This window comes from Homo sapiens, chromosome X (assembly GCF_000001405.40).
Source record: "Homo sapiens chromosome X, GRCh38.p14 Primary Assembly".
Lineage (NCBI taxonomy): Eukaryota > Metazoa > Chordata > Mammalia > Primates > Hominidae > Homo > Homo sapiens.
Window position 1 is genome coordinate 15,429,037 of NC_000023.11, and position 13,843 is coordinate 15,442,879.

Here is a 13,843-nt window from a genome sequence, read left to right on the forward strand (position 1 = left end):
GGCAACTAGAGCTGTGGAGAGTTGGTGGGAAAGCTCTGGTTAACTCGCTGTATTCTTGCCCTCAACTTCAGTCATCAGTCTGCCCTCCTGGCTGGCTCTTTTTCCTTCTTCCTTCCTGTCTCTTGCTTCTCAACCTAATCCATATTGTTCAAAAAATAGTAGCTACCTCTCTAAGTTGCAACTACACAGGCACAAGCACACATGCAGGTGTATTCACACTCACACAGAACGTTCTATATTCATTTATGTATTCATCTTAAAAATTTTAAACAGAAACCAATGAGAGACTTTAATAAAGCCACAAAATATATTCTATCGTCTCACAGTGTGAAAAAGTCTAAGAGGAAATTTTTAATTCATTTTGCAGATGTTTTTCACAACATCTTTAACCTAAAACAGGATTCCAATTCTAGTATTCTTTTCATATTGGGAACTGGATCATTGAGGGTGTCAATATAACATATGTCTTGAATAATAAACTACCCCAAAGCCTTCAAAACTGAATGTATATTATTCTATTTAAAATAATCTATAATGAGGCCGGGCGCGGTGGCTCACGCCTGTAATCCCAGCACTTTGAGAGGCCAAGGTGGGTGGATCACGAGGTCAGATGATAGAGATCATCCTGGCTAACACGGTGAAACCCCGTCTCTATTAAAAATACAAAAAATTAGCCGGGCGTGGCGGTGGTCGTCTGTAGTCCCAGCTACTCGGGAGGCTGAGGCGGTAGAAGGGCGTGAACCCGGGAGGCAGAGCTTGCAGTGAGCCGAGATCCTGCCACTGCACTCCAGCCTGGGCGGAAGAGCGAGACTCTGTCTCAAGGGAAAAAAAAAAAAGGTGATGATGTCAGCCTCAAATGTACCTTGAGCAAACCTGGATTCCATCTTTCCATTACATACCCTGCTGATTTTCAACCATAAAGAAATCTTCCTATTAGGCACATTGTTTCCTGTGTTGTTTTGTTTATTTTTATGTATAGTATTAAACTATTAATAGAACCTCAAAATAGAATGATAATTTAATTAAATCATTCTTTTTTGGTTAAAACTTAGCTATCAATGAATCTATTTCCACAAGAGTCAAACAAATTGGTCCATAAGAAACTAAAAGAAAACATTCCCCTATAAATCCGTTGCAGCATGCACAGAGCTAATGCACTCAAATTCTATTAGTGAATTTGTTTTTTTTTCCTTTTTTTTCTGTTTCAGTTCTGATTAATAATGCCTGCAGAGGTACTAAAATCCAAAGCTCTTCCCCTTTCGTCTTTCTTTCCATTTCACAATCCTGTGTTGAAAGTATTTAGGAAACTTTCCTTTAAAGTTTTAGCCTATATTTCAAAAGCCTAATGGCTTAAAATATTATGGTTCAAATATTATGCAGGGAATATTTCTAGAAGGTAAGTAATTCAATTCTTCATAAGAGATTAAGGGTACATTTTGGCTAACCTACAACAGGGCTGCTACCAAATCCAGGAAAACCTTGTCTCTCCTTCCCTATAAATATGTCAGAACCAAACCCATAATGAGTCTCAGACACCACTCCAATAATGACCACAAAACAACCAAGACAAAACAAGGTCTATAAAACCACTTCCTTCCAAACTCCAACTACCTTCATCTTATGTCCTTCAAAGACTTCCCATTTACCCTGGCTTTTGGTAGGATACCCTTGTCAAGCTGGCTTCCTTCCTCTGCTTTTATTCATAAATGTGATCTTAATTAGGAGATGAAATCACTTCCACATGGAAGCTATGTGGCTTAAAAACATCTCCCCAAGAAAAAGAATGCAGCATGCTACGTTGCTATGTATGAGTGTGGCAAAGGAAGTATCTTGAATTTTGCCATTGCTCCTTTGACAGATAACTGCTGCCCATTGATTCCCAAATGCTGCTGTTTTTACCACCATCTTTGACTCTCCCTAAAAGCAAGTGGCAGCAATGTAGTGTCATAATGCTTTGTGAATGTAATAAATTGTGAATGTAATAAATGCATTCACAGTTCTTTGGGGGAACTATTTCAAAAGCTCTTTATGATTTAGTTATTTCTCAGGAAATGCACTCAAATTGTCAATCTTACTATAATATGTTGCTTAAGGAAATTACTCTAAGTAACCATATTAATGAGTGCCAATCCCCAATATCCTATAAGAGAAAGAAACAGTGTTTCTACTTGTTCCTAGACACACACCCCCCATTTTGGACAACTCCTCTAATATTGGACATTGTGTTTTATGGGGTTTTTGTGTGTCATTGTTAACTTTCGACGAATCTCTTTGCACATAAATCTTTGATTACATTTCTATTTTTTTCCTTCACAGTGAAATTATAGATGTAAAGGTTAAGACATTGTGGCCAAAAGCAAATTGTTCAACATAATCATCTGGTTAAACAGCAATTTTGCTGAAAATCTCTACTGCTAGTCACTGCTTTTCCTAGTCTTGGTAATTTTGCTACACCACAGGGCAGCCTTTCAACTCTTTATGTGCTCTAAATTGTTTTTTCCCCATCCAGTCTCCTATTGTTAGAAAGTTAACATATTCCAACAGATCTCCTATTGTTGCACATTTTTTTTCCTTGTCACAAACATAGAATGGAAAAATTAATTGCTGAAAAAAGGTAAAAGTTAAAAAATAACCACCCCCCCCCCGAAAACCTTTGGAAAATGGACAAAAAGTAAGGAAACAAGCTTAATCTGAAGAAAAAAGTTTAAAGGCACCACCTCCACAGTATAAATACCATTATCTCAACAACCCACATCTAGCAGTATCTGTTCTTGAACAAATCATCATCTGATCACTTGTTATACTAACTAACTTGCTTTCATCCAAATTGGTTTTGTCAAATCACTTGGTAACTACCTTTAAAAAGTGCCCATCTCATCAAAATGTTGATCATCTTATTTTTTTTCATTGTAGTTCATTTAAAAAGCAGAAATTGGTATCTCCTTACTCTTTAAATTTGACTATTAGTTTGGGTGATATTATTATTATTAATTTTAAAATAATAGTAACTATTATTAATATAAAAATAGCAATAACTAAATATGTTGAGGGCTTAGTATGTACCAGGCACTATTTTAGGGGCATCGTATGTATTAATTAAGGCCACTTGCATTTCTCTTTCAGTAAACTATCTGCTCATTAACCTATTTAACTTTTCATTCATTTATCAATTAATTTCCTCATTCAAAAAATATTGGTTAAGAATCTATAATGTGCTAGTCATTGGATATATATTGCTGAATAACAGTTCTGCTCAACCCTTGTGAAGTATTACTTTCTAGTGAAGAAGATAATTTAGCAAATTAAATATAAAACTTTAAAATGTGGTACTTGCTAGAAAAGAAATAAATAGGATGCAGAGAGAGAAAATAAAATGAGGAGAGTAAGGGAAGTCCTCACTAGGGAGATTACATTAAAGTGAAGACTTGAATAAGAAGAGTTGAGGGTAAGAGATTTCTGGGCAGAAAAAAGAGAATAGCATGTGTGAAGGCCATGAAGCCATAAAGAGCTTGAAGTATTCAGAAACTGAGAGGAGAGCAACATGGCAGACATAAAGTGGTTGCTGGAGCGAATGACATAAGTTTAGAAAGTTAGGAAAGATTCAATCAGATATAGGCCATAGTATGGCATTTAGGATTTCTTTAAAATACAATGAGAACACATTGAAGAAGAACCAGATCCAATTTTCATCTTAAAGAGATGTCTTAAGCTACTATATAAAGAACTGGAAGGGAGTAAGAATAGAGGAGAGGAGACTCCTGAAGAGGATGCTGGAGTAGGCCAGAGAGGGATGGGAGAGAAATAGGTAGATTTGAAATAATATATTTGGAGATAGAAAGGTTTTTGCTGAGGGACTAGATGCAGTGGGTATAAGGATGGCCATCATGTTTCTACTTTGAGCAGTGAGTGATAATGCCATTTATTAAGATGGAGAAGACTGGAAGAGAAACAAGTTGTTTGCTGTCAAGACAGGTGAGGGTGGGGAGAACAAGACTTCAACTTTTGCTATTTTAAATTTGACGTGCCTGGGCACCATGCAAATGGAGATGTCAAGTTGGCAGTGGCAGATATGAATCTACATAGAGCTCAAAGGGGAGGCTTGTACTGTGAATATCAATCTGGGAGTTGTCAGACTATACATGGTATCTAAATCCATGAAATAAATAAGCTCACTTAGGCAGATGCTCAATGAAAGAGAAGACTCAGGACTGAGATCCAGGGAACTAAAGTGTTTAAGGGTCTGGCCAAGAAAACGGTGTCACCTGGAGAAAGGAAACTGAGAAGGAGCAAAGAGCAACCAGAGACACAAGAATGTATTATCTCAGAAACCAAAGAAAGAGAGGCTGTGGAGAAGGACAAAGCAATCAAGCCATGGAGAGGAAGAGCTGACATGAAGAAGGAACCAAAGAAAGAAGAAGAAGGAGAAGGAGAAGGAGAAGCAGAAGAGGAAGAGGAAGAAGAAGGAGGAGGAGGAGGAAAGAAAGAAAGAAAGAAAGAAAGAAAGAAAGAGAGAGAAAGAAAGAAAGAGAGAGAAAGAAAGAAATGAGGAGGAGGAAGGAGAAAGAGAGGAGGAAGGAGAAAGAAGGAGGAGAAAGGAGAAAGAAGGAGGAAGAAGAGGAAGGAGAAAGAAGGAGGAGGAGGAAGGAGAAAGAAGGAGGAGGAGGAAGGAGAAAGAAGGAGGAGGAGGAAGGAGAAAGAAGGAGGAGGAGGAAGGAGAAAGAAGGAGGAGGAGGAAGGAGAAAGAAGGAGGAGGAGGAAGGAGAAAGAAGGAGGAGGAGGAAGGAGAAAGAAGGAGGAGGAGGAAGGAGAAAGAAGGAGGAGGAGGAAGGAGAAAGAAGGAGGAGGAAGGAGAAAGAAGGAGGAGGAGGAAGGGGAAAGAAGGAGGAGGAGGAAGGAGGAAGAAGGAGGAGGAGGAAGGAGAAAGAAGGAGGAGGAGGAAGGAGAAAGCAGGAGGAGGAGGAAGGAGAAAGAAGGAGGAGGAAGGAGAAAGAAGGAGGAGGAAGGAGAAAGAAGGAGGAGGAGGAAGGAGAAAGAAGGAGGAGGAAGGAGAAAGGAGGAGGAGGGAGGAGAAAGAAGGAGGAGGAGGGAGGAGAAAGAAGGAGGAGGAGGAAGGAGAAAGAAGAAGGAGGAGAAAGAAGAAGGAGGAGAAGGAAGGAGAAAGAAGAAGGAGGAGGAGAAAGAAGAAGAAGGAGATAGAAGAAGGAGGAGGAAGGAGAAAGAAGAAGGAGGAGGAGAAAGAAGAAAGAGGAGAAAGAAGAAGGAGATAGAAGGAGAAGGAAGGAGAAAGAAGAAGGAGGAACGAGAAAAAGGAGGGGGAAGGAGAAAGAAGGAGGAGGAGAAAAAAGAAGGAGGAGAAAGGAGGAGTAGGAACGAAAAAGGAGGAGGAAGGAGGAGGAGGAAGAAGGAGAAGGAGAAGAAAGACAGGGAGAGGGAGAGGGAGAGGGAGAAGGAGAAGGAGATTACCACCTCTGGTTTGGCCACATGGAAGTCAGTGGTGACTGGTTTCAATGGACCAGTGTGGGTGGATGTCAAGTTGAGAACATCAAGGAGGTAGGACAGTGGAGATGAAATGTGCAGACACATCTTCAGTGATGTGTGACTGTGAGAGGGAATGGAAAATTGGCGGCTATGAAGTCAAGGACGTTTGGTGCTTCTCATCAATTTACATGAGAGGTTTGTTTTTTTTTTTTTTCAATAAAGTAAGGTTATTATCTCCCAGTTTGTTTTTGGCCTTTAATTTCATTTACAAGGTTTCTGACATGGGTCTAATCTATTCATCTTTTCCTTCCAATGCTTTTAAACCTGGAAAGTCTTTCCCCATCCAAAGATCATATAAATGTTTGTGTATATTTTTCTAGTTCAAAATGTTTAACATTAAATTATTTAATCTATGGCCGGGTACAGTGGCTCAGGCCTGTAATCCCAGCATTTGGGGAGGCTGAAGCAGGCAGATCTCTTGAGGTCAGGAGTTCGAGACCAGCCTGGCCAACATGATGAAACCCCGTCTCTACTAAAAACACAAAAATTAGCCAAGCGTAGTGGCGGGCGCCTGTAATCCCAGCTACTTGGGAGGCTGAGGCAGGAGAATCATTTGAACCTGGGAGGTGGAGATTGCAGTGGACTGACATTGCATCACTGCATTCCAGTGAGACTCTGTCAAAAAAAGAAAAAGAGAAAGAAAAGAAAAGAAAGAAAAGAAAAGAAGAAAGAAAGAAAGAAAAGAGAAAGAAAGAAAGAAAATTATTTAATCTATGTGGAATTATTTTGACAATTAACTGTGAGATCATGAGCTCTAATCTGGTTTCTTTTTATTAAATGGTTAACCAATTGTCCCAGTTGACTTATTCTTCTTTTCCTCAATTGATGATAATCTTCTTTATCCCTGTTAAGTTTGCATATATATTTGGGTCTAGTTCAGGTAGGTTCTCCTTCTACCACTTACAAGGAAGAGCCTCAATGGGGAAAACCAAGTGTTCACTTAATTTACTAGCTCAGGAGTCCCAACTAATAGAGTAAGATCTACTCCATGAGGAGCTCATGTCATCATCTAGTACAGTTCTTATGGCTTCCCAATGTCCTCATCTTCCTTCTACCACCTTCCCACTCTCGTGATCTGTTGGGCTTTGCACTGGGGATAAAAATGCATCAGCACAGACCTAGTCTCTGCACTACCATACACACTCAGGAGACTCACTGCCAGATCCCATTGCCCCTGCATGGGGAGCCATACTTTCTCATTTCTCCTGGAGATGGTAAGGCTTTGAGGAAGTGAAAAGTAGATTTACCATACTGTTTAAAGCAAACTTCTAACTCATTTTTAGAATAGGCTGATGCTCTTCAACAAAATGATGTCTTCTGTATCCAATCCAAAGCACTTTGAATTCTGAATTCTTGATTGTTTTAAACAATTCTGATAAGCAATGGGAAAGATTAGTTTCCATCCCCAGTGCCAAAGGTATCGTGGGAAGGATTAAAACTCTGTAATCATATTTTGACATATACATGAAGTGTTACACAAAGAGAAGACAAGGAACTCTTAGGCAAAATGCCAATGACTCTTTGTAGGGTGGGAGTTAGAGAGGGCCAAAAAAACATTTTTAACTTCTATCAACCATAAAAGACTGTGGACAGTCTTGAACATCAAGCTGTCTAGCTGACCAAGAATTTTAAACATAGCCAAATTCAGTCTATAGTATTCTTTTTCAAGTAGCCCTTTAATCAGTAGTAATACTCTTGTCCTTCTCTTTCTCACCTTTTATTTATGGGAAGAGTAGTGAGGAAAGAAGGACTAAAGGGGAAGAGAATAAAGATGATGACGGGGACTCACAGTACTGAAATTTAACCAGAGACATGTTAATTGTGAAACTGGACTTTGATTTCTTCACCCTTTGAGTCAGCATCCTTGCCTGAATTTGGGTTACAGATGTTCTAATTTCTTGGAAAATTAAAACCAGAAAAAGAACAAATTCCCATGTCTTATATAAATAATCCATCTACAACCCTATAAAGGCAACAGTATAATAAAACCACAAATGGCCCCCAAATAGGCTAACACAGAGCCTTCCTATTTGTTAACTCCAATCCATGGGTAATGTGTTCCAAGACTGAGTCAGCAAATCTATTAACCAATGCTAGAATATTCCTCACAAGGCTTCTAATATTTATTAGTTACATTTGCTATTTACTAAAATATTTTTAAGAGTTCTTGTAGGAAAGTGCATCAAGATGTAACACGGGAAACTCATTGGCAAAGATTTCATAGAGCTCTGGGTATGGATACTTTCATATAGATATGTTTCTTCAATTTTATGATTAAAATTAATGAAGGGGGAATTTATTATGGTCTAGGGCTTCTTCTACGTGATCATTTGCAGGATGTTCTGACACAGACAGGCAGGGGTGTCTGCTTGTACAGGCATGTGCCTGAAGGTACCCTTTTGGTGTAGAAAGAGACATGGTCATTTTGAAGCTTCCTTCCATGAAAATGAGCTAAGGCATTCCCTAACTGGAGAGAGATACACTCAGCAAACTTATGCATCAGGGCTGAATGGTGTGATAAGGCAGGGGAAATGTTCAAATAAAATGGGACAAAATTCAGGAAACCTGAGTTTGGGTCTGGTCTTCTTTCACAATGAGCTGTGTGACCTTGGGAAAGACTTTTTGCCTAGTTGGGTTTCAGCCTTCTCATTTACAAAGTGGTGGAGTTGGAGAGCTTATCTTTGGGGTCCATTGCTGCCTGACATTCTGATTCAAATGAAAGTACCAGAAGAAAATGGAACAGTAAGTGGTGGTTGGCTTTGAAAAGCATCTCATTCTATCAGGAATTCTAGATTCGTGTTGCCCTAAGAACTTTGTTCATATATTAATACACCATTATGGCAATGGAAGAGCTGAATGAATGAATGAATTGAAAGTTTTCTGTACAACTATTATATAAATGGGCCAGAGAGAGCCCCTGTATATTAGGTGAAAATGGCCCCCATGTTGGTTACTTCCTTACACTAGGATAGGACCATTAGCCCAAAGAACACTGATGCCAAACTCCAATTTTCGCACACCAAATTGCTTTAAATATATTCCAAAATGAACAAAATTTTAGCCATTTAGAGCCTACCTACTTCATATAGACTGTGAAACTATTCCCAACATCTGCTAGCCAGAAATAAGATAAACTATTACCAGCATCTGCTAGCCAGCTATAAGACCTCAAACTGCTAATGTCCTTCAGAACTCTCTAATCCAGAGAAACCTCACCTTGCTGTTGAGTGATATCACCTGGACATGTAAGCCTCCTCTCTGATTTCCCCTACTCCTTCAGGTCTCTTGCCCTATTTCCTTTCTGAGGGGTGGCCTTGTGCCACTGTCTCTGGAAAATCTCCAGCTATGAAGAACTTTCCCTCTTACGCAACCTTGTCTGAGCACTGCCCAAATAAAGTTTGTATGTTACTGCTTCTCATGAAACTGTCTCTTCCTTGATCAACTCCCCAATCCCCAAATTTACCACATCAACCCATCTAAATACAGTATTCAAATAGGTCCTAAAAGTATTGAATATGGCCTCCTGTGTATCCACAAACAAGAGGAGAAGTAGTTCCCTGCTATTCAGCACCAGCTCAGAAAAATTGAAGAATTGACCAGATCTGCTGAAAGGCTGGAGCACTATGCAAGGGATCAGTATATATCCCCAATTCAGGTCAGGGATCATTCATGAATTCCTGTGCAAATAGGGAGTGGTCAGATCCTTGGCAAAATGACAGATGGGCCAAGGTTTTCCTTTTGAACGCTTCAACATGTATCTCTCCTCTTAAGCCTTTTCAGTCTTTAAAAGTTTCCAAGACAAAACCTTCTCTCAACAAAAAATCTGATTTCTACTGGGCTGTGCCAAACTGGTGAAGGACCTATGTGAGCATGTGATTAAGAGCACAGACCCTGGAGCCAGACCATCCAGTTAGAATCCCAGTTCTGTCACTTACTATATGTGTAACCCTAGGCAAGTTGCTAACCTCACTATGTTTCAGTTCCCTATCTCATTGTGAGAATTCAATTGCACACATTTTACATGCCTCCTCAGAGTCGCTCAGCCTCATTATAGCTCCTCAGCCCTTGGCCTCTTATGGAGACCTGTAGGTGCCATCATTGTTGCAACTGTTGACATCGCCAGATGCCTTGGCCTGTCCTAGCCGACTGTCAAGTTCTGACATCGTCTTGATTGTCCTCTCAGTGGTGGGAGTTCCAGAAGCTCCAGAGTCTGGGCTTGACCTAAGTGACCTACGGAGGCTCTGGATCCTCTCTTCATGCCCACACTTGGATACAGATCCAAGCCATAGAATGGGACATGTGGCCTATTCAGAGGCTGTCTGCAGGGACCGGGTGACACAAACCAGAAGGGCAGGGAATTAGCTCCCCATGGGCAAACTTTGACCAAAGAGGAATGGAAGATGTGGGGCAACAGACAAATTCTTGCTCCCTTAGAAAGTTCTGAGGTACAGCTTCCTGAACAGGCATCCTACATGGCCAAGAATCTGTCTCACTTCCCTTCTCCTTCACTCCCACTGCCCTGGGATTGCAAATAATACTTGCCTTGGGCTTTGTTTTCCAGAGAACCCAAGTTAAATCAGAATTAAAAGAATTGACACATATAAAGAACTCAGAACTTCACTGTCCAATACAGTTGCCACTCACTGCATGTGGCTATTGGGTATGTGAAATGTGGCCAGTCTGCACAGATGTGCTGCAAGTGTAAAATACACACTGGATTTCAAAGACTCGGTAACAAAAAGTGTGAACTATCTCATTACAATTTTATATTGGTTACATGTTGCAATGATAATATTTTGGATATATTGGATTAAATATGCTATTAAAATTAATCTTACCTGTTTTATTTTACTTTTTAAATGTTTACTATGAAATTTGAAGTTACATGTTGCTTCCATTATATTTTTATTAGACAACTCTGACTTAGAACTTAGCACCTCATAAGCCCATAAAAGATGTTGGCCACTTTCATTTCCCATCCCAAGAATTTCTAGAGATTTGCTGTCAGTAAAGACTAATGATAAAAGGGAATGTGGGAAAAGAAAAGATAGATAAGGGAAAAGGAAAGAAATATTTATTAAGTACCCTCTATGTTGCTAGGCACATTAAATACCCTACAAAAACCTCAAGGACTGTGTATTATCATCCCCACTTGGCAGATGAGGAAATAAAAGCTCAAAACAAATTTCCCAAGGTCAGAGCTGAGATTTGAACCCAGGTGTGCTTGACTCCACAGCCTATGCTCCTTTCAGTCCCTCATACTGTTGAAGGATGGACTCTAATGGTACAGTTTTAATAACATGACAGTGAGATTTTCTGTCATATGTTGGGCTTTTTAGAATCCCTTAAATCAGCCACACAGGAGGTCACCTACACCAACCAAGTTAAAAGCTGGTGTTAGACACAAATTTCTCTCTCTCTCTCTCTCTGTCTCTCTGGCCCTGGGTTCATGGAATTGAATTGGCTGTACACTATATTCCATGGCACAGGGTCATCATACATCCATGGGCACCCCTCTTGCTTTGTGTTATTTTCCTCCATCATCCCCCATCTCAAGACCATTCCCCATTGGCTCTCAGTTGAGCATATGTAATGGACATCCTTCCAATCTACCCACAGTGTATTTATTTAGATATATGGGTGTCCTTGAAAAATGAGTAGTATTGTGTGCTAAACTGCTTTCTTTTCTGATTTATTCCTCATTTTTTTCCTGAGAGCTAATAACTACAAGTGAATACAGCCCACTGCTTCTGGCGGCTACACCATATTCCATCATATGTAACCACCATATTTCACTTATTCATTCTCTCAGTGGTGAACACCTATATCAACTCTGACTCCTTTCTATTACTCACGATGCTGGGATGACCACTGTCATATGTCTGCTTGGTGAAGTTTTGATGGAATAAATACTAGGAATGAAGTTTCTGGGGCATACCCTATATTCAGTGTTAGCTTCATTGGATAATGTCAACTTGCTCTCCACAATGAACACAGTTACACCCACTTGCCAAACATGAAGTTTCCATTTCTTCCCATCCTTGCCAGCACTTCACAGTACCCAACTTTGTATTTTTTCTTAATTTGAAGGGTGTCAAGTGGCAGCATATTATTCAAATTTCTATGTTTCTGCATATTGGTGAGAGGAACATTTCTTCATATTCTTATCAGCTTTCCATAGTTGAGTACAGGATTTTCTTAAGATCTGGTGCCTGGAGTTACCACCAACACAAGCATAGAACTTTACACAAAGGAGAAATGTCTCCCCCCAAGAGAGTGGAGACGGTATGGATACACGGTTTTGTTCTCCCAACTATGTTAATGCTCTGAACTGAGCAAGTACATCAATTTTCTACAGATATGACTGCTCTAGGGCTTGGAGATTTGCTTGTGCAATAAAATTTCATGGAACCAAAACCGGTATTGTGATAAATGTGTCTTTTATTACCTTTTGGGACTATTTTTAAAGTGAAATGAATGAGAATTGAGGTTGAATGGATTCAAGTTTGGCAGACCTAATGGAGCCACATCCAGTCCAGGGGAGGCAACTCAGGCTACGATGCTCAGAAAGAAAAAAGAAAATCCTTATTCTACCCAAGCAAAGCAGGGTTAAAATTGGATAAAGATGCTTTGGCATCTTATTTAGAATGCAATTTTAATTCTAGTTTATTTTAATGTGATTTATAAGGGCAAGGGGTTTTAGATCAGAACTTTACTTTTGTCTTAGAAGTTTGATGATAGGAGAGGTTTATGTTCAAATTTGTGATATTTTAATATTTAGATAAAATGAAATGTGCAGTCTAGAAGACAGATATGCCTTGGTGTGAATTTAACAAAAAACTCTCCATATACATTTCACATCATTCTGGGGGTAAAATTGATCCTAGAGAACAGAAGTTAGTTTTTATGTGAGGGGGTCCACACTGATAAATTTCTCATCTCTTTCCTTGAGGAGGCAGTCATGGCTAAGCGTCCGACTCTAATATGTTAATAGAAAAAAAATCAGGGAATGTTCGAAGGAGCCTCCAGACCCCTCCCTAATATCCCCATGAGGCAATACTGCCAGCTGCTCTCTGCCTTTCTCACTAATCCCTGAGGATGAGGGGGAGGCAGGAGGTGGGATCCAGCTGGTAAGAGTAATTCAAGGGACTGAGTATGCTCAGCTCAGGCCCTTCTGAGCTCTTTTTCTTTCTCTTTCTCTCTTCTTCTGTCAAGAGGTAAGCCTGCCTCTGAAGAAGATGCCTGTGACTGTAGGTACACCTCTGCCTGGACGTGGTTAATGAAGCCGGGGAAGTATTAAGAAGCCCAACAGGTCTCAGATATAAGTCGTGTGCTTTTATCTAGATTTTACTGGTAAGAAAGATGATATTTGGATCCCTATCTGGCCAACTCCTCAGTCTCCCTCTCAATTCGTTCGGAACTTGGGAAGGAAAGAAAGACGTACAGGCATACCTTGTTTTATCACACTTCCTTTATTGTGCTTTGTAAATATATGTATTTTTTTTTTTTTTACAAATTGAAGGTTTGTGGTAACCCTATGTTGAGCAAATCTATGGGTGTCATTTTTCCAACAGCATGTGCTCACCTCACATCTCAATGTCACATTTTGGTAATTCTTGCCATATTTCATTATCACGTTTTCATTATCACTATATCTATTATCTGTGATCTTTGATGTTACTATTGAAATTGTTTTGATGCACCACAAAACTGTGCCGACATAAGACACATCGAACTTAACTGATAAATGTGTGTTCTGACTGCTCCCCTAACTGGCCGTTCTCCATCTCTCTCCCTCTCCTTGGGTCTCCCTGTTCTGAGACACAATATTGAAATGAGACCAATTAACAACCCCACAATGGCCTCGATGTGTTCAGGAGAAAGAAAGAGTCATATGTCTCTCACTTTAAACAAAAAGCTAGAAATGATTAAGCTTAGTGAGGAAGGCATGTCAAAAGCCGAGACAGGCCAAGAGCTAGGCCTCTTGCACCAGTTAGCCAAGTTGGGAATGCAAGGGAAAAGTTTCTGAAGGAAATTAAAAGTGCTACTCCAGCGAACACACAGATGATAAGAAAGCAAAACAGCCTAATTGCTGATATGGAGAAAGTTTGAGTGGTCTGGATGGAAGATCAAACTACCCACAACATTCCCTTAAGCCAAAGTCCAATCCAGAGCAAGACCTTAACTCTCTTCACTTCTGTGAAGGCTGAGAGAGGTGAGGAAACTGCAGAAGAAAAGTTGGAAGCTAGCAGAGGTTGGTTATTGAGGTTTAAGGAAAGAAGACATCTCCATAACATAAAAGTAG

The 13,843-nt window shown here is 39.9% G+C and overlaps 1 protein-coding gene and 1 long non-coding RNA gene across 3 annotated transcripts in view, besides 1 other annotated feature; both read right to left on the reverse strand.

Annotated features, from left to right (window-relative positions):
• The window catches only part of PIR-FIGF (PIR-FIGF readthrough), a 145,719-nt gene that overhangs the window by 83,446 nt on the left and 48,430 nt on the right, over nucleotides 1-13,843 (reverse strand). The window lies entirely within an intron of this gene.
• PIR (pirin) overlaps nucleotides 1-13,843 on the reverse strand; it is a 108,535-nt gene that overhangs the window by 44,238 nt on the left and 50,454 nt on the right. The gene's annotated exons all lie outside the window — the stretch shown is intronic.
• Nucleotides 9,429-9,498: a silencer, noted in NCBI's record as "silent region_20672". NCBI's record gives its function as "represses an Ori minimal core promoter by ATAC-STARR-seq in GM12878 lymphoblastoid cells {active_cell/tissue: GM12878}" and the evidence as "EXISTENCE:reporter gene assay evidence [ECO:0000049][PMID:35858748]".